Source organism: Homo sapiens, chromosome Y (genome assembly GCF_000001405.40).
Source record: "Homo sapiens chromosome Y, GRCh38.p14 Primary Assembly".
Taxonomy (NCBI): domain Eukaryota; kingdom Metazoa; phylum Chordata; class Mammalia; order Primates; family Hominidae; genus Homo; species Homo sapiens.
The window spans coordinates 18,326,199-18,345,089 of NC_000024.10; the positions used below are offsets into that span (position 1 = coordinate 18,326,199).

Below are 18,891 nucleotides of genomic sequence, written 5' to 3' on the forward strand. Positions count from 1 at the left end.
CTCGGGCTTTCCAAGGTGCCGCGCCAGGGGTTGCTGAGGTAGAGGTGGCTCCCCTGCTCCTCCTTCCACCTCTCCGATTCCACCTCCTCCTCGCACCCCGCTGGGAACTCCTCCAGGGGCTGAGATTGGATTCACCGAGCCTGGTGAGAATGACTCAGGAGTGGTTGTCCGAGGGTGTGCCCTGCGGTTCCTGTCCGAGTAGTGTTCACGCGTGCCCAGTGGTGGCCGATGGGGTCACGGCCCCTCTCCCCACCCCAGGCGCGCGGCGATGGGATATGAACCAGTCACTGCCTTTGTGCTTTCCTCCTCTCTCCGCTGCCCCGGTCAACCAGCGGAGAGTGGGGAACTGCGGGCAGGTCGGCGGAGTTAGATGGCAGCAAAGGTGGGCCGGCTTGGTGTGATAAAGTTCCAACTGGGTCCTTCCGCGAGCCCTGGGTCCATAAGATGTCATCGGCGAGCGCTGGACTTGACCGTCAACTTGGGATTGTTAAGGTAGAACGGGTAACTCTGGTCAGCAGCACTACCACCTGCATCCACTAGAGGCTGCTCTTTCACCACGTCATTTCTTCCTCTCCAACTGTTTCCACAGTATTTTCAGCTGCTCTTCATTTTGTTTTTCTTTTTCCTTTTACTTTTCTTACTCCCCTTTCTACACACTGAAGTTGCTGTTGTTTTATGTTTACTTCTTCTCCTTCTAATTCTTCTTTTCTTTTTTTTGAAAAGTTGGAGTGTGAGATTGCATTCTCGGCTCATCACAGCCTCAACCTTCCTGGGCTCCCGCAGGTGTTCTTGCCATCTCAGCCTTCCAAGTGGCTGAGATTGCAGGAATAGCTTGATTCTGGGATGTCGAAGCTGCAGTGAGCCATGATCACGCCATTGCCCTCCAGCCTGAGTGACAGAGAAAGACCCTGTTTCAGAAAGTAAGAGAGACAGGTTAAAGAAATAACTCCTTGAAATTACTGCAATTAATTGTGATCTAAATTACCTTTTTTATTTTTATATTTTTCACTCTCACTAGTTTGTTTATTATTATTGCTGTTGTTTGTTATTTATTTGTATTATTGTTTATATTATTGTTATTGTTTTTATTAATTAGATATTTAGAGATGGGGTCTTGCTTTATCACCCAGACTGCAGTACAGTGGCATGACCTTGGCTCACCGTAGCCTCAAATTCCCGGGTTCAAGTTCAAGACCAACCTGGGCAATATGGCATAACAACCATGCTTACTAAAGTCTGTCACTGATACCCCCAGGGCCGTTGAATATGGCAGGTGCAATTTCGGAGGCTGAGGCAGGCAGTTGGCTAGAGTTCAGGAGTTCAAGACCAGCCTGGACAACACGCTGCAGTGCATTACCTGACCAAGGCCCAACGCAGCCTCCACCTCCCGAGCCCAAGGGATGCTCCCACCTCAGGCTCCAAAGGAGCTGAAAGTACAGGCGCCTGCCATCATGCCCGGCTAACATTATTATATTTTATTTTATTTTATTTTATTTTATTTTATTTTATTTTATTTTATTTTATTTTATTTTATTTAAGTAGAGGCATGGTCTCACTGTATTGTCAGGGCTGGTCTCAAAATGGTGGGTTCAAACAATTCTTCCATGTCAAACTCCCAAAGTGTTGGGATTACAGGTGTAAACCTTGATGCACTTCTCTCTTTTTTATTTCCTTTATTTTTCTTTTTTCTTCCTCTTTCTTTCTTTCATTTTCTTTCTTTTCTTTCTCTTTCTTCTCTCTCTTTTTCTTCCTCCCTTCTTTCTGTCATTTCTTATTCTCTTTTTCTGTTTCTCTGTCTTTCTATTTTCTTTATCTTTCTTCCCTTTACATCTCTGTCTCTTTTTCTTTGCATTTATTTTTCTTCATCTTTTTGTGTGTCTCTTTTCTCAATTCGTTTCCTCCCATCCCTCCGTCTGTCTTTGTTTGGATTCTGGAAGTCTCCTCATTCTGTATACCCCTGTGTATCACAAGCCTCTGAGACTTTCGCTTCGTTGTTTTTCTCCTTGTTTCATAAAATGCATTCATTCTTCTTTTATTTAGGTACTGTATGGATGGTCAAGTGCTGGAAAGAAAAAAAAATGGCCCATAAATTTGTTTGGTTTCACAAGAGACATGGGAGACCAAATAACGCACGATGAGTACTTTTCTAAATATCCTGTTTATTCTCCCAACGGGGCTCATAAAAATACGGATGCATTCAGTGGGTTGAGAGATCTCTGTGCAGTCGTGACCCTGCAATTATATTTGACAAGGGTGGTGATGACAGATGGGTGGCACAGAAGCCTACCCTTCTTTGGCACCAATTGAGCATGGTGACAACAGATTCAAAATGGCCTGTGTCTGAACTTGATGGTCCTGTTTTTCTGCTCTGGTCTTTAGGAATGAGGGGAGCCTTCCCGAGTTCCGCCATTTCCTTGCATTTTTCTTTTTACATATATTCGTTCACTTATTTATTTACTAATTTATTTTAAATAGAGTCTTGTTCTGTAGCCCAGGCTGTGGGGTTTTTTTGGCTGGCTGCAATCTCCACCTCCCTGGTTCCAGCAATTCTCCTGCCACAGCCTCCTGAGTAGCTGGGATTACAGGTGTATGCCACCCTGCTCACCTAACTTTTGTTTTTTTAGTAGAGACAGGGTTTCACCATGTTGCCCAGGCTGACCTTCAGGGATCTGCCTGCCTCAGTCTCCCAAAGTGCTGGGATAACAGGTGTGAGTCACCGCGCCCAGCCTAAATTGCAATTTTTCAAAATAAATGTTTTGTTTTGCTTTTTTTAAAAGTAGGTCATCACCTAGTGACCACTGTTATTGAAAGGCCACTGTTATTGAAAGTGGCCACTGTTATTTAAAGGTGGCACTGAGGGCCGCCTGGCCACTTCACAGAGCCTGGGGCAACTGCTTTCTCTCCTTCCCTTCTGGAGGCCCCTCCCTCTCTCCCTCACTGCCTAGGGAACTTCCATCCTGGTGCGGACCCTGTTGTTCTTTTATCCCTCTAGGTAAATGGTGTCTCCTTCTGTCGCCAAGGCGGTGGCATGGTCTCGGCTGGCTGCAATCTCCACCTCCTTGCTTCCAGCGATTCTCCTGCCTCAGCCCCCCGAGTAGCAGAAATTACAGGTGCGTGCTACCCTATCCAGCTAACCTTTGTTTTTTTAGTAAATACAGGATTTCACCATATTGGCCAGGCTGATCTCACAATCCTGACTTCGTGATCTGCCAGCCTTGACCTCCCGAAGTGCTGGGATGACAGTCATGAGGCACTGCACCTGGCCACCATCATTGGTTTTAACTGGAGAGTCTAGATTCGAGGCATATCTCATTCTATGTCACAGAATGACTTCTTTATCCTGCCGACTCAAGAAAGCTGGGCCCCTTGTGATTCATTTCAAACAGAGAGTCACCTCATGTTTGGAAAACAGATCTGCTCCCAAGTTGAGTGGAGGGATGTGGCGTGTAGGAGGAAGGACTGTTCCTTCTGACTTAATCTGCATGGTGGGGTCTAGGGCTGGAGCTCAGTGTGGATGGATGGCTCCCTCTACCTTGGGTTCCATTGTCCCCACCGTGGAACACCAGCCTTGGCAGATCCTGGCCCTTCCTGGCCCTTAAGATGCTGTCAGAAACTGTATCCCAAGCTTGGATGCCCCGAATGACTGTGGCTCCCACCTCTCTGGAAACATTTGAAATCTATCCTCTACGCATGGCCACCTAAAACCACAGGAGCCCAGGACACTCAGCCGCCATCCACCTCACTGGTTTATGGAGAGAATGCTGAAAGTCTCTTGCTAACTCTCTTGAGTTCTTCAAGGGCATGTAGTCAGGACGTAGTGAGACCAGATGTATTAAGTCAGGCTGGGTGCGGCGACTCAAGCCTGAAACCCCAACACTTTGGGAGGCCAAGGCGGCAGGATCTCTTGAGCCTGGGAGCTCGAGACAAGCCTTGGACAACACAGCCAAAACCTGAGGTGCATGCCTGGGGTCTTAGCTACTCAGGAGGCTGAAGTGGGAGAATCACCTGACCCTGGGGTGGTTGAGGCTGCAGTGAGCCATGATGATGTCACTGCACTCCATCCTGGGCTACAGACAGAGCGAGACCCTGTTGCAAACAGAGAGACAGATAATACCTATATTATGTCCTTCTCACGATAGGATGCAAAAATAACAGAATACAGCAATTAAGATATTTTTACATTTTAAATTTCAAACTATTTATTTATTAATTTTGAGTCCAAATTATGAAGCCAGCTAATTTTTGTATTTTTGAAGAGATGAGGTTTCACCATGTTGCCAAGGCTGGTCTTGATTGCCTGGAATCAAGGAATCCACCCGCTCTCAGGCTCCCAAAGTGCGGGGATTAAAGGCATGAGCTACTGCTCCTGACGGCATTGTTTTTTGTTTGTTTGTTTGTTTTTTACTTTGTTTTTCTTTTCTTTTCTTAATCGCTTGTCTTTCCAGGAGTTTCATGGCAGGGCGCTTGGCTGGCTTGTTTAAATTCATTCTGAATAAGAACTGAGGATGTCAGCTTCTGGCCTCATGGACTCTGGACTGAAGAGTCCCCTTGTCTATCTATCATGAGACTGTACACGTAAGAAGCAAAAAACTAGTAACATTTAAAATAAATAATTTTGTTGTACAGAAATACACGGATGCACCTAAAACACAGAAATGATTCTTTTAAAAGTTGTGTTAGTCCTGGTGGGTGTGGCAGTGATTCTTTTAGGTTTGGAGCTTGACTGAGAGAATTTCCAGTCGGTATTTGGATGGAAGTTCCAGATGATCTGATGGGTGGGGACTTAGGCTGTGTCCCCCCCCCAGGGGCCCTGGTTGATTAGTTATGGGGACTGCCTGCGAGGGTGCTGTGACCCAGTGTACTGTGGGGACTTCCATCCTTCCCCTCCTTTCCCCACTCCGGGTGATGCCAATTCATTGCGGGCTGACACTCTCATTGGCATATGCCACCCTATTCACCTAATGGGCATCACCTAGCAGCCATTGTTACTCTGAAAACCGAGGCCTCAAGGAGGAAGAAAGCTCATGGCACCTGGGCACAGCCCAAGGCAGCTGTGTCTTCTCCACTGCCCCCACCCCCACCTCCAAGTTTCTCCCTCCCTTGTTGCCAAGGGAATTGCCACCCTGATGAGTGGTTCTGATTGTTCTTTGATCAGTTAAAAAAATGAATATACATGCCGGGCACTGTGGCTCATGCCTGTAATCCCAGCACTTTGGGAGGCAGAGGCAGGTGGATCAAGAGATCAGGAGTTCAAGTCCAGCCTGGCCGATGTGGTGAAAACGTATCTCTACTAAAAATACAAAAAATTAGCCAGGCATGGTGGTGTGCGCCTGTAATCCCAGCTACTTGGGAGGCTGAGGCAGGAGAATTGATTGAAACTGTGAGATGAAGCTTGCAGTGAGCTGAGATAGCACCACTACATTCCAGCCTGGGCAACAGAGTGAGACTCCATCTTAAAAAAAAAAAAAAAAGAGGCCAGATGCAGTGGCTGATGCCTGTAATCCTAGCATTTATGGAGTCTGATGCAGGCGAATCACCGGACATTCCTGACGTTGGACGTTCGAGATTAGCCTGACCAACATGGAGAAACCCTGTCTCTACTAAAAATACCAAGTTAGCTGGGCATAGTGGCACTTGCCTGTAATCCCAGCTACTCGGGAGGCCAAGGAAAGGGAATTACTTGAACCCGGGAGACAGAGGTTTCAGTGAGCTAACATTGCACCGTTACTCTCCAGCCTGGGCAACAAGAGCGAAACTCCCTATCCAAAATAATAATAATGATAATAATAATAATAATATAAAAAGTAAGTGTTTCCGGTAAAAAAGGAAAAAAAAATAAAACCAACAGTGACATAAACATACTTCTCTGTCCTTTCAAGGCAGCAATGATGCTACAAACTGATCCACCTGTCTCAGGCTCCCTAATTGCTGAGATTACAGGTGTGAGCCACTGCACCCAGCTATGTATAATTTTACGTGTACTTTCTTTTTTTAATTAAATTAAATTAAGTTTTTGTTGGTTTTGAGACAAAGTCTCACTGTGTCACCCAGGCTGGAGCACAGTGGTGCACTTGTGGCTCACTGCAAACTCTACCTCCCAGGTTCAAGCGATTTTCCTGCCTTAGCCTCCCGAGTAGCAGGGACTATTGGCTGGCATCACTGCACCTGACTAATTTTTGTATTTTTAGTAGAGACAGGGTTTTGCTGTGGTCACCAGGCTGGTCTCAAACTCCTGACCTCAAGTGATCCACCCATCTCAGCCTCTCAAAGTGTGAGAGTTTCTGGGGTGCCAGATGGGTTGGTCTCCCCTGTATGAGACATCCATGTGGAGCCATGGGTGGCCTCTGAGGAGAAATATCTCCTTATTGCCTTCATGTCTTTATGCCCTGAAAGCATAACAGCTCAGAGGCATTCCACAGGTTGGCAAGGGAGATACCTCCTTTGAAGCAGTGGAGTATAACCAAACGTGTTGGCTCCTCCTGAAACCCACTCACACCCATTTCAGTCCTGATAAGTTAAAGATCTTGAGTAGTTTAGACACACGCCTTTGCTCAAGGAAATTCACAAAAAACTGCTGCTACACATCTTATTGAGTGACACTGATTAATCCTCTACCTTATCCCTTTCTACCCCTCCCATCTGCCCTAAGAACAAAGAGCTTGTAAACCAACAAATTCAGCAGAGCTCGAGAGCTCTGGGCTGTGAACAAGCCTCAGATGCTCCGGTCCCCTGGACCCGCCTTTTAAACATTTATTTTTTTCTCTTTACAACTCCTTTGTCTCTGCTGGACTCGTGGTACCTGCTGGCTGGTGTAGGGCTGGTTTCCCCAACACAAAGTGATAAGATTACAGGCATGAGCCACTGCGCCCGGCTATGTGTAATTTCTTAACTCGGCTCATTTCTTGACTAGGCATCATGGGCATTTGGGCCACTTTCTCATGGAACTTACTTGTGCTTCAGGATCTGTTCGGACCCAATCAGGTCCACAGCATTTCTGTGTCATGCTGGAGTGCTGCTGTGCACACCCACTTACGCCCAGTGTGTGATGAGCGGCTCAGCTCACATGGTAACTTCGTGGCCCCATGGTTGGGCATTTGGTTTCTACTAATAGCCAGAGGCTAGCTGGATAGAAAGAATGGTTATCTGCAGATAATGGCAGGGCCTTGCTCTTCCACTTGCTTATTCCACTGTGATTTGGAATAGCTTATGTCTCACATGGATGGTCCTGTTTTTCTGCTCTAGTGTTTAGGAATGAGTCAAGCCTTCCCGTGCTCTGCCACCTCCTTGCATTTTTTTACATTCATCTATTCATTTATTCATGTATTTTTTAGAAACGGGGCCTTCCTGTGTCGCCGAGGCTGGAATGCAGTGGTAGGACCATAGCTTACTGTGACCTTGAACTGCTAGGCTCAAAGCAATATTCCTCTGCCTCAGCCTCCAGAGTAGCTGGGCCTACAGGCATGGGAATGAGCCACAGCACAGCACAATGCCCCGCTAATTATCTTCGATTTTTTAAAAAATGGTTTTCTTGTTTCTTTTCTGAGACAAAATCTCCCTCTGTCACCCAGGCTGGAGTGTAATTGTTCCCAGACCAAACTGAGGGTGGGGCTGCTTATTCTCCCGACCTGATAATGACATACAGATGAACTAAAAAAAGGGAGTTTTTATTTCTGTGACCACTTACAGGGAGACGGCCTGATAATATCACCAGATTGACTCAAAATTACAAATGTGTATAAAGCTTATATACCTTCTAAGCTATCTGCGTAATCTTAACAGTGCATACATTTAAAGGTGGAATCAATTTATTTATTTATTTATTTATTATTTATTATTATTTTTTTTTTTTTTGCGATGGAGTCTTCCTCTGTTGCCCAGGCTGGAGTGCAGTTGTGAGATCTCAGCTCACTGCAACCTCCACCTCCTGAGTTCAAGTGAGTATCTTGCCTCAGCCTCCTGAGGAGCTGGGATTACAGGTGCCCACCACCATGCTCATCTAATTTTTGCGTTTTTCTTAAAGACGGGGTTTTGCCATGTTGACCAGACTGGTTTGGAACTCTTGACCTCAGGTGTTCTTCCCGCCTTGGCCTCCCAAAGTGCTGGGGTTACTGGCTTGGGCCGCCAAGCCCAGACTGCTTCTTTTGCACTAGAAATGGGCTCTCTCATTATCACGGTATAAACGTGTCTATATTGTGGGATATGGTGTGCGTGTGCACGTGCATAGGCACATGTGTTTCTCCATGTTTTCCCGAGCCATGGTGCTTCTTCCCCCGCAAGGGCTGTGGTGGATTAGTTGTTGGGAGCTCCTGAAAGGGCGCCGGGCTGACACTTCCATCCGTTGTCGTCTCGTGTCATCTAGCTGTCACCGTTTTTGAAGTCTAGGAGGCTCACAGGATGCCGTGGCCGCCCGCCCATGGTAAGGGGTGAGTGTGTCTTCTCTCTGCTCCCCTCAGTCCTACCCCAACCCTCAGAGGCCCGCCCTACCTCCATCCGTTCATCCCCTCCATCGTTGCCTAGAAAACCTCTGGAGATTCTGGCTGGGCCAGATTGTTGATCTTCTTCATCAGTTGCTTCCTATTCTTTGTGTGTTTGACCCGCGTGGACTCTTCTGCCTGGGTTTTACAGACGGCAGTTCCACCCTAGGCCTTTTCTTTAGTGGGGACTTTTCTGATTCTCCCCAGATGTTGTGAAAGCAGGTAGATGTCAGGCGTTTGGGACTAAAAGACATTTCTCAGGATTAACTGAATGAGTGTGGAGGAAGCAGCATGCACTTCACACCTTTCAAAGCAGGGATGGCAACACTATGAATTCGGTGTCTTTTCCAGAATCAGCTTGTTTCCTGAGTTGCCCTCCGTGTCCCCCCACCCACCCCAGGCTAGAAAACATTCCAGAGTGAACTACTGTGCCTCCTTCCCTTCCCCGTCCTGTTTTGTCCCCTCCCCCTCACCTCGGTTTCTCTCCTTCATGCCGGCAGCTTTCCTCTTCCTCTCTCCCTCCCTCCTTAGGGAAACTCAAGTACCTTGGCTAAGCCGCCATAGTCAGTTTTTACCGTTAAGTTATGTTTAATATTTGTCTTTCCCCAGCCAGCATATTGGTAAAGTGGAAAGTGCATCATAGCCACCGATCCCCCACCCACCCCGCCCCCCACCGCCCTCGGCTATTTTTTTAGAGTTTTTTAGAGTTTTTTAGAAAAATAGTTTTACTATTTTTTTAGTTTTTTTCATCTATCTTTCTCCTTTCATTTCTTTCTTAAAGTTTATTTCTCCAGTTTTCTTTCTTTCTTTCTTTCCTTTCTTTCTTTCTTTCTTTCTTTCTTTCTTTCTTTCTTTCTTTCTTTTTCTTTCATTCTTCTTCTCTGTCTTTTGTTCTTTTACATTTTCTTCTTTCTTTTTTCTTTCCTCTCTCTGTTTTTTCCGCCTGGCTTTCCTTCATTTATTTCCTCCTTCTTCATCTCTTTCATTTTTCTTCCCTTGCTATGTCTCTTTCTCTTTTTTTTTTTTTTTTTTTTTTTTTTTTTTGACGGAGTCTCTGTCGCCCAGGCTGGAGTGCAGTGGCATGCGTGGTGGGATCTCTACTCACTGCAAGCTCCACCTCCCGGGTTCACGCCATTCTCCTGCTTCAGCCTCCAGGGTAGCTGGGACTACAGGCGCCTGCCATGGCGTCCGGCTAATTTTTTTGTATTTTTAGTAGAGACGGGGTTTCACCTTGTTAGCCAGGATGGTCTCAATCTCCTCACCTTGTGATCCACCCGCCCCTGCCTCCCAAAGTGCTGGGATTACAGGCGTGAGCCACCGCGCCCGGCCTCTCTCTTTCTTTATATTTCTTTGTCTAGATTTTAAAAATCCTCTCTCTCTCTGGTTCTCATTTCCTTCTTTCCGCCCTCCCTCGCTGCTCCCTTCCCTCCCTCCTTGCTTTCCTCCGTCTGTCTCTTTTCTCCATTCCCTCTCTCCCTCCCTTCCTCCGTCTTTGTCTGGATTCTAGAAGACTCTCCTCATTCTGTATCTTACTGTGTCCTAACCGACCTGCAACCAAGTCCCATTTCTTCTTTCTCAGTCCGAGATGCATCTTCAAACTCTCATGCGCCACGGGTTGTCTTTTGACTCAGTCGCAGTCTATGCAGAGACACGTTTGGAGAACGGTTTCTGTGAAGTTGGGGAGGAGGGGCTGCGTTTTCGGCCTCAAAAAGACTTCGACTCATGGTTTGGGTTTCCCAGTCATGGGCTGCCCTGCCATCTGGGACTCTGGCGCGTCACTTGTGAGTCAGAGCTGGCAGTCCAGGGCTTTGCTGGGGGAGGCTGTCGCGGTGCTTCCGTGCCCCAGGGCAGTGTGGGGCTGCCCTGGCTGGTCGAACAGCATGCCACAACTCCTGAGGCTTGGCCCGAGATCCACAAGGACGTATTGGGCATGGCGCTGGTGGCTGGGGATGCCCTTCCCGGCCCAGTGGCAGGCCAGTGCAGGTCTGATGCACCTGCCAAGCCCTAGTCCCTCTGCCCTGATCTTTTTTTTGAAGTCCCCATGCAGAGTTGGAGAGCGGTCCCTGAGCATGCATGTGGTCCAAGAGGTGGCACCTGGCCAGGCTTTGGTCCCTCATGTGATCCAGTCATGCTAGGGGCCAGCCAAAAATAACTCCCAGTCTAGCTCTGGAAAAATGGGCCAGCCCCTGCATTGTACGGGTAACCAGGAGTTTGTCCCTGGCCCAGTGCTGCTCCTGTGTGTGTCCTGGGGTCAACCAGAGGGCCCTGGGTGTTCCGTGTCTGGCTGCCATGGTGGCCTTTTTTTGGGAAAGATGTCCAGGTCACGCGTTTCTGCTCAGGTGGTGTGGTCACTGACTCGACACCCCTCCACCAGGCAAGGTATATCTTTCACTCTGAGTCGACATTTTGGGCCACCAGGTTGTTGCTGACACGCTGCCTGGCAATTACATTGGGCCTCTAGATGCGTGTGAAGCTCTGGTATACTGGTAACCCAGCTAACCGGCCCTGTTCCAGTTTTAGCTGATTGCTGGGACCTGTGTGCCTGCTCTCACGCATCCTAGTGTCATAACTGTCCGTGGTGCCCCAGGTTTCTGGGCCTTTGACCCTGGCAGGGAAGGCAGCTCGGGCTCCCGTGACCAGTGTGCTCCCGGCTGCGGGCACAGGGTGGTCAGAACAACCCCACTCTGTTGGCTCTTCGCTGTGAATGTCAGGCATTCCACCTTAAATTGTCTGCTGTCCCTATCCCGGAGTGAGCCTGGCTGGGCTGTTATGCTCATCAGTTTCTTCAAGACTGACCCCAGCTCAACCACCGCCCATTATTGGGCTTTTCACGATGGATGTGGTGACTTTACGCTCTCCCAGGCTGGGAGTAAGCCACGAGAAGCAAAGGATGGAAATACACAGTTAATGGAAGAGTTCTTCTTCTTCTGCTTGTCGGGCCCCTTGTCTCTCTTCCCCACTCACGGGTAGTGTGTTGGGAGGCATGGGGCAGGGAATTTGCGGTGACCTCGCTGCCCTCACGCCTTGAGCCTCGTGACTTCAAGAAGATTGGTGGGGTCCTCTGACACAGCGGGCACCTTTGCTCTGGCTTCCTGTGGTTGTTGCCTTGCGGGTGGACACTGCACCTCTCCGGGGCCATGGGGCATGTCCCTACCAAACATCATGCTGCCCTTTCTGGGATGCGAGAGGGTTGACACGACCAGGGCCTTTGTGGTGATCCAGGAGTGCTCCAGACTGCCCGAGACAAAATGGTGGCGGGTTGTGCCAACCCCAAGTGGCCTCTCGTATAACCGCCACCACGGTGTTTGCAAGTGCATCCTGAAGAGGTCGTTGAGCGGGGCGAGGCGGATGAGTGAGGCAGGTCCCTCCCACTCGATAAGAGATGCTGCCTCCTCTGTTGAGCGCCAAGTTCCTTGTTTCACTCTGCCAAGTGCGCCCACGACGCAGGAGCGAGTGCGGTAAGATTCTGTGTACTATCGTGTTGTGTCGGCCTCGGAGAGGCCTTTTGCCCCAGAGAGAAAGGTGGATAAACAGCGGGACTTTGGGGGTGAGTGCATGCATGCCAGGCAACGGCCCTGATAGAAAGCACTCAAAATTTTCCAGTCTTTTGGTCATAAGGCAGACCACTATCTTCCCCAGGGGTCCATGAGCGAATCTTCAGGAAGGGGTAACTGGTGGGGAAAGAGTGTGACAAAAACTTGGTGAGAAAGCCTTCGCTGGTAATTCGAAAGGTGAGCCAATGAGGTTCAAGCGATTCTTCTGCCTCCCCCGCCCACCTCCACCGGGTAGCTGGGACTGCAGACGCTCGCCATCATGCCCGGTGTCTTTTCTGGAATCAGCTTGTTTCCTGAGTTGCCCTCCGTGTCGCCCCACTCACCCCAGGCTAGAAAACACTCCAGAGTGAACTACTGTGCCTCCTTCCCTTCCCCCTCCTGTTTTATCCCCTACCCCTCACCAAGGTTTCTCTCCTTCGACGTCCAAATCGTCTGCGTATAATAATGATTCCGTTGATGTGCATAAGCAGAGTTCCCTACTTTTACCATAAATAAGAACAGAAACCGCGGGGGTCGTGCAGTCCCTGGCTTACACCCAGGGTGCGTGTCACCCCCACGAGGGGCACCAGAAAGCGTCAAGAAAACCCCCGAGGGAAAGGAACAGGAGGGACAGCCTTTAAAGGGGAAGATGAGGCAGTCCGGGAAAAAACTTCCCACGGAAAACAGTGCCTGTCCAGCCGACCCTGGGCCGGGATTTGGGAAGTCGTGGAGTCCTTGACTTGCACCCAGGGGGCATGCCGTGCTCATGGGGACACCCCAAAGTGGCAAGAAGGCCTCTGGGGGAAGGGAACAGGACGCCAATCTTAATAGGGGACATTGAGGCAACACGGAAAAAAAAAAAAAAAGGCGGGCCGGGGTCGTTCAACAGATGGCAGTGCCTTCCTGGCAGCCCCTGTGTTGGGGCCGGGGTGGTCGTGGAGTCCCTGTCTTGCACCCAGGGTCCGTGTCAGGCCTATGGGGGGCACTTCAAAGCGGCAAGAAGACCCCCGGGGGACGGGAACAGAGCTCCAGGCTTGAAAGGGGACGTTGAGACAGTACAAGGAAAAACTTCCCATGGCAACAGTGCCTTCCTGGCAGACCCTGCTCCGGGCCAGGCGAGTGGTGGAGCTTCTGCCTTGCACCCAGCTGCGGGTCACGCCCAAGGGGGGCATCTCAAAGCAACACGAAAGCCCCTAAAGGAAGGGAACAAGATGCCAGGCTTGAAAGAAGACTTCTGAGGCAGCACAGGGAAAAAGCGGTGGGCAGGGATCCTCCCACGGACGACAGTGTCTTCCCAGCAGCCTCTGCGCCGGAACCGAGGGACCGTGGATACCTGGTGTGCACTCAGGGTGCGTTTCTCGCCCACGGGGATAACCCAAAACGTCAAGAAAGCCCCGGAAGGAAGGGGAGAGCATGTCAGTCTTCGTGAAGGAGGACATTGAGGCAGCCCGAGGAAAAAAGTGGTAAGGCTGGAGTCCTCCCACGGACGATAGTGCCTTTCCTGCAGCCCCCGAGTCAAGTGCCCGGTGGTCGTGGAGTACCTTGCTGCCACCCAGCGGACGTGTCTTGCCCATGGGGGGCACCCCAAAGCGTCAAGAAGGTCCCCAGGGGAAGGGAACAGGACGCAAGGCTTGAAAGGGGACGTTGAGGCAGTCCAGGAAAAAACTTCCCACGGAGGACAGAGCCTTCCCAGCAGCCTCTGTGCCAGAACCAGGGAAGTCGTAGAGTCCCTGGCTTGCATCCAGGGTGCGTGACTCGTCCACAGTTGGGGGGGTGGGGGGGTGCCTCCAAGCGGCAAGTAGGCCATAGGTGGAAAGAAACAGGATGCCAAGCTTGAAAGAGGAAGTTCAGACAGCATGAGGAAAAAAGCGGCGAGCCGTGGGCGTCCCATGGATGACAGTGCCTTTCTCGCAGCCCCTGCATCGGGACGGTGTATGTGTCGGGAGGAGGGTCGTGGAGTCCCTGGCTTGCACCCAGGGTGCGTGTCTCACCCATGGGTAGCACCACAAAGCTGCAAGAAGGACCTCGGGGAAGGGGACAGCACATCAGGCCTGAACGGGAAAGTTGAGGCAGCCTGGGGATAAAAGCAGCGAGGCTGGGGTTGTCCCACAGACGGCAGGGCCTTCCCGGAAGCCCCTGTTCCAGGCCTGCTTGTGTCATTGAGTCCCTGGCTTCGCCGCTTTTTTCCCCGTTGATCTCTCCTTACAAGCCTGGCATCCAACTTCCTTCCCCCGGAGGCCTTCTTTGCCGCTTTGGGGTGCCCCCCGTGGGCGCGACACTCAGCCTGGATGCAAGCCAGGGACTCCACGACTTCCCTGGGTGCAGCGTAGAGGCTGGGGTCTTCCCATGAACAACAGTGCCTTCCCGGCAGCGCGTGCACCTGGCCCGGGAAAATGGTGGAGTCCCTGGCTTGCACCCAGGGTGCGTGTCTCGCCCACTGGGGCTCCCCAAAGCGACAAGAAGGCCCCCGGGGCGGGGGGAAAGGGACAGCACATCAAGCTTGAAGGGGGACGTTGAGTTAGTCCGAGGAAAGAAGCGGCGAGGCTGGGGTCCTACCATGAACGACAGTGCCTTACTTAACATCAGCCCCTGCGCCGGGACCGGGTGGTCGCGGAGTCCCAGGCTTGCACCCAGGATGGGTGTCTGGCCGAAGAGGGACACCCCAAAGCGGCCAGAAGGCCCACGGGGAAGGAAACAGGATGCCAGGCCTGTAAGGCGACGTTGAGGCACGCTGGGGAAAAACTTCCCGCGCACTACAGTGCCTTTTCAGTAGCCCCCCCAACACCGCGCCAGGGGAAGTCGTGAAGTCCCTGGCTTGCACCCAGGGTGCGTGTCGCATCTAGTGGGGACACGCCAAAGCGGCAAGTAGGCCTGCGGGAAAACGAAACAGGACGCCAGGCTTGAAAGGGGACGTTGAGGAAGCACGAGGGAAAAAGCAGCAGGCCGGTTTACTCCCACAGACAACCGTGCGTTTCCCCAGCCCGTGTGCCTGGCCCGGGACGGTCATGGAGTTCCTAGCTTGCACCCAGGGTGAGTGTCGCACCCACGGGGGAACCCCAAAGTGGCAAGAATGCTTGTGGGGGAAGGGAACATGATGCCAGGCTTGAAAGGGGACATTGAGGCAGCACGGGGAAAAAAGCGGTGGGCCGCAGTCCTCCCACCGATGACAGTCCCTTCCCGGCAGACCCTGCGCCGGGCTTGGGGTGGTCGTGGAGTCCCTGGCTTGCAGCTAATGTGCGTGTTGCGCCCACGCTGGGCGCCCCAAAGTGGCAAGAAGGCCTCCAGTGAAACGAAAGGGGACGTTGAGGCAGTACCGGGAAAAACTTTCCACGGAGGACTGTGCCTTCATGGCAGCCTCTGCATCACGCCCGGAGAAGTCGTGTAGTCCCTGGCTTGCACCCAGGGTATGTGTCGTGCCCACGGGGGAGGCACCCCAAAGCGGCAAGAAAACCTCTGAAAGAATGGAACAGGACGCCAGGCTTGAAACCGGACGATGAGGCAGCACGGGGAAAAAAGCGGCGGGTCAGAGTCACCGCACGGTTGACAGTGCCTTCCCGGTCTCCGCTGCGCCGAAACATGGGGGTGGGGGACGTGGAGTCCCTAGCTCGCACCCAGGCTGCGTGTCGCGCCCACGCGGAGCACCCTAAAGCGGCAAAAAGGCCCGCGGGAGAAGGGGACAGCATGTCAGGCTTGAAGGATACGTTCACGCAGCCTGGGGAAAACAGCGGCGAGGCTAGGGTAGTCCCACAGACGACAGTGTCTTCCCAGCAGCCCCTGCGCTGAACCCGTGTGTGTTGTTGAGTCCCTGGCTTGCACCTAGAGTGCGCTTCTCTTCCACGGGAGGCACCCCAGAGGCAAGAAGGACTTTAGGGGAAGGAAACATGACGCCAGGCTTGAAATGGAACGTTGAGGCGGCACGGAGAAAAACGCGGGTGGCCGGGGTCCTCCCACGGACGATAGTGCCTTCCCGGCAGTCGTGCCTTCCCGGCAGCCCCTACGCTGGGCCCGGGGGAGTCGTGGAGTCCTTGTCTTGCACACAGGATACGCTTCTTCCCCATGGGGGGCACCCCAAAGCGGAAAGAAGGCCCCCCGGGAAAGGGAACAGGCAGCTAGGCTTTAAATGAGACATTGAGGCTGCCCTGGAGGAAAAGCGGCTGGCCGGGGTCATCCCATGGATGACATTGCGTTCCTGGCAGCCCCTGCGCCTGGCCCCGGGGAATCGTGGAGTCCCTCACTTGCACCCAGCGTGCGTGTCGCGCTTAGACATGGGGTGCCCCCATGGGCGCGACCAGCACCCTCGGTACAAGCCAGGGACTCCAAGACCACCCCGGCCCAACATAGGGGCTGCCGGCAAGGCACTGTCTGCCCTCAGACGACCCTAGTCCGCGGCGTTTTTCCCCGGACTGACTCGGCTATCCCTTTCAACCCTGGCGTCCCATATCCTTCCCACGGTGGCCTTCTTGCCGCTTTGTGGTGCCCCCTGTGGGCGAGACAGGCACCTTGCGTGCAAGCCAGGGACTCCACGATATTCCCAGACCCACCGCAGAGGCTGCCTGGAAGACCGTGTTATCCATGGCAGAACCCCAGCATCCCCTCTTTATTCCCCAGGCTGCCTCAACGTCCACCTTCGAACCTGACGTGCTGTCTCCTTCCCCTGAGAAGCTACTCGCTGCTTTGGGGTGCCCCCCATGGGCCCCTGGGTGTAAGACTGGGACTCAACAACCCCTCCGTGTCCGGCAAAGGGGTTGCACCCCAAAGTCGCAAGTAGGCCTCCGGGGGAACGGAACAGGAAGACAGGCTTTAATGGGGACGCTGAGGCAGCACGGAGAGAAAAGAGGCTAGCCGGGTTCCTCCCATGGATGACAGTGCCTTCCTGGCAGCCCATGCGTAGGGCCCTGGGGGAGCGTGGAGTCCCTGTCTTGCACCCAGGATGCGTGTCTCGCCCACGGGAGGCACCCCAAAGCTTCAAACAGGCCCCCAGGGGAAGGGGACAGCACGTCAGACTTGAAGGGGGACGTTGAGGTAGCCTAGGGTAAAAAACCGTGACGCTGGTTCTCCCACGGACGACAGTGCCTTCCTGGCTGCCCATTCGCTGGGCCGGGGAGGTCTTGGCGTCCCTGGCTTGCATCCCGGGTGTGTGTCTCGCCCAGGGGTGGCACCACAAAGCATCAAGGAGGCCCCGGGGGAAGGGTACCAGACGCCAGGGTTGAAAAGTTTAGTTGAGGCAGTCCCGGAAAAAAGCGGCGGTCCAGTGTCCACCCAAGGACAACCGTGTCTGCCCAGCAGCCCCTGCACCGGGCCCGGGGTGGTCGTGGAGTCCCTGGCCTACACCTGGGGTGCGTGTCGCGCCCACAGTGAGCACCCCAAAGCAGTAAAAGTCCCCCAGTGGAAGGCAACAGGAAATCAGCCTTGAACGGGGACCTTTAGGTAGCCCAGAGAAAAAAGCGGCGAGGCTGAGGTGATCCCAGGGATAACAGTGCCTTCCCGACAGCCCTGCGCCGGTCCTGGCGGTGTCGTAGAGTCCCTGGCTTGTACTCAAGAGTGTGCATCTCGCCCTCAGGAGGCACCCCAAAGAGGCAAGAAGGTCCCCGGGGGAAGGGGACAGGATGTTAGGCTTAAAAGGGGACTTTGAGGCAATCCAGGGAAATAAGCAGTAAGCCAGGGTCCTTCGAACGACAGTGCCTTCGCGGCAGCCTCTCGCCCTGCCCAGTGGGGTTCTGGAGTCGCTGGCTTGCACCCAGGTTGCGTGTCGCTTCCACGGGAAGCACCCCAAAGCACCAAGAAGGCCTCTGTTGGAAGGGAAGAGGGCGCCAGGCCTGAAACGGAACGTTGAGGTAGCACGGGGAAAAAAGCAGCGGGCCGCGGACGTCCCACAGACGACAGTGCCTTTCCGGCAGTCCCTGCACCAGGCCCGGGGTCGTCGTGGAGTCCCTGGCTGCACCCAGGGTGCATGTCGCACTCACGGGGGACACCTCAAAGCCTCAAGAAGGCCTCCGGGGGAAGGAAACGGGACGCCGGGCTTGAAAGGGGACGTTGAGGCAGTCCGGGGTAAAAACTTCCCACGGATGACAGTGCCTTTCTGGCAGCCCCTTTGCCCTGCATGGGGATGGTTGTTGATTCCCTGGTTTGCACCCAGGGTGAGTGTCTCCCCCATGGGGGGCACCCCAAAGCGAAAAGAATGTTCCCCGGGGAAGGGTACAGCACGTCAGGCTTGAAGGGGGACGTTCAGGCAGCCCCGGGGAAAAAAGCGGGGATACTGGGGTCCGCTCATGGACGACATTGCCTTCCCGGCAGCCTCTGCGGTGGGCCCAGGAGCTGCGTGGAGTCCCTGGCTTGCACCCAGCTTGCATGTCTCACCCACGGGGCGCACCACAAAGAGGCAAGAAGGCCACCGGGGGAAGGGCACAGGACATCAGGGTTGAAAGGCATAGTTGAAGCAGTACGGGAAAAAAAGAGGAGGGATGGTGTCTTCCCACGCACGACAGAGCCTTCCCGGCAACCCCTGCGCTGGGCCCGGAGGGATCGTGTAGTCCCTGGCTTGCACCCATGGTGCGTGTCGTTCCCACAGGGGCACCCCAAAGTGGTAAGAAGGCCTCCCAGGGAAGGGAACAAGACGCCAGGCTTTAAAGAGGACGCTGAGGCAGCACGGCGAAAAATGCGGCCAGCCGGTTTCCTCCCATGATGGCAATTCCTTCCCGGCAGTCCCTGGCTTCCTCCCAGGGTGCGTGTCTCTCCCACTAAGTGCACCCCAAAGCGGCAAGTAGTCCCCTGGGGGAAGGGGACAGCACTTCAGGCTTCAAGGGGGACATTGAGGCAGCCCGGGGAAAACAACCTCGAGGCTGGGATTCTCCCACGGACGACAGTGCCTTCCTGGCGGCCCCTGC

At 53.0% G+C, this 18,891-nt stretch overlaps 1 long non-coding RNA gene across 1 annotated transcript; it reads left to right on the plus strand.

Annotated features, from left to right (window-relative positions):
• Positions 1-334: 334 nt before the first annotated feature.
• Positions 335-4,629, plus strand: FAM224A (family with sequence similarity 224 member A). The gene is made up of 3 exons (NR_002161.1): positions 335-492; positions 2,993-3,110; positions 4,446-4,629. It is a non-coding gene; the product is annotated as a family with sequence similarity 224 member A (long non-coding RNA).
• Positions 4,630-18,891: the final 14,262 nt, after the last annotated feature.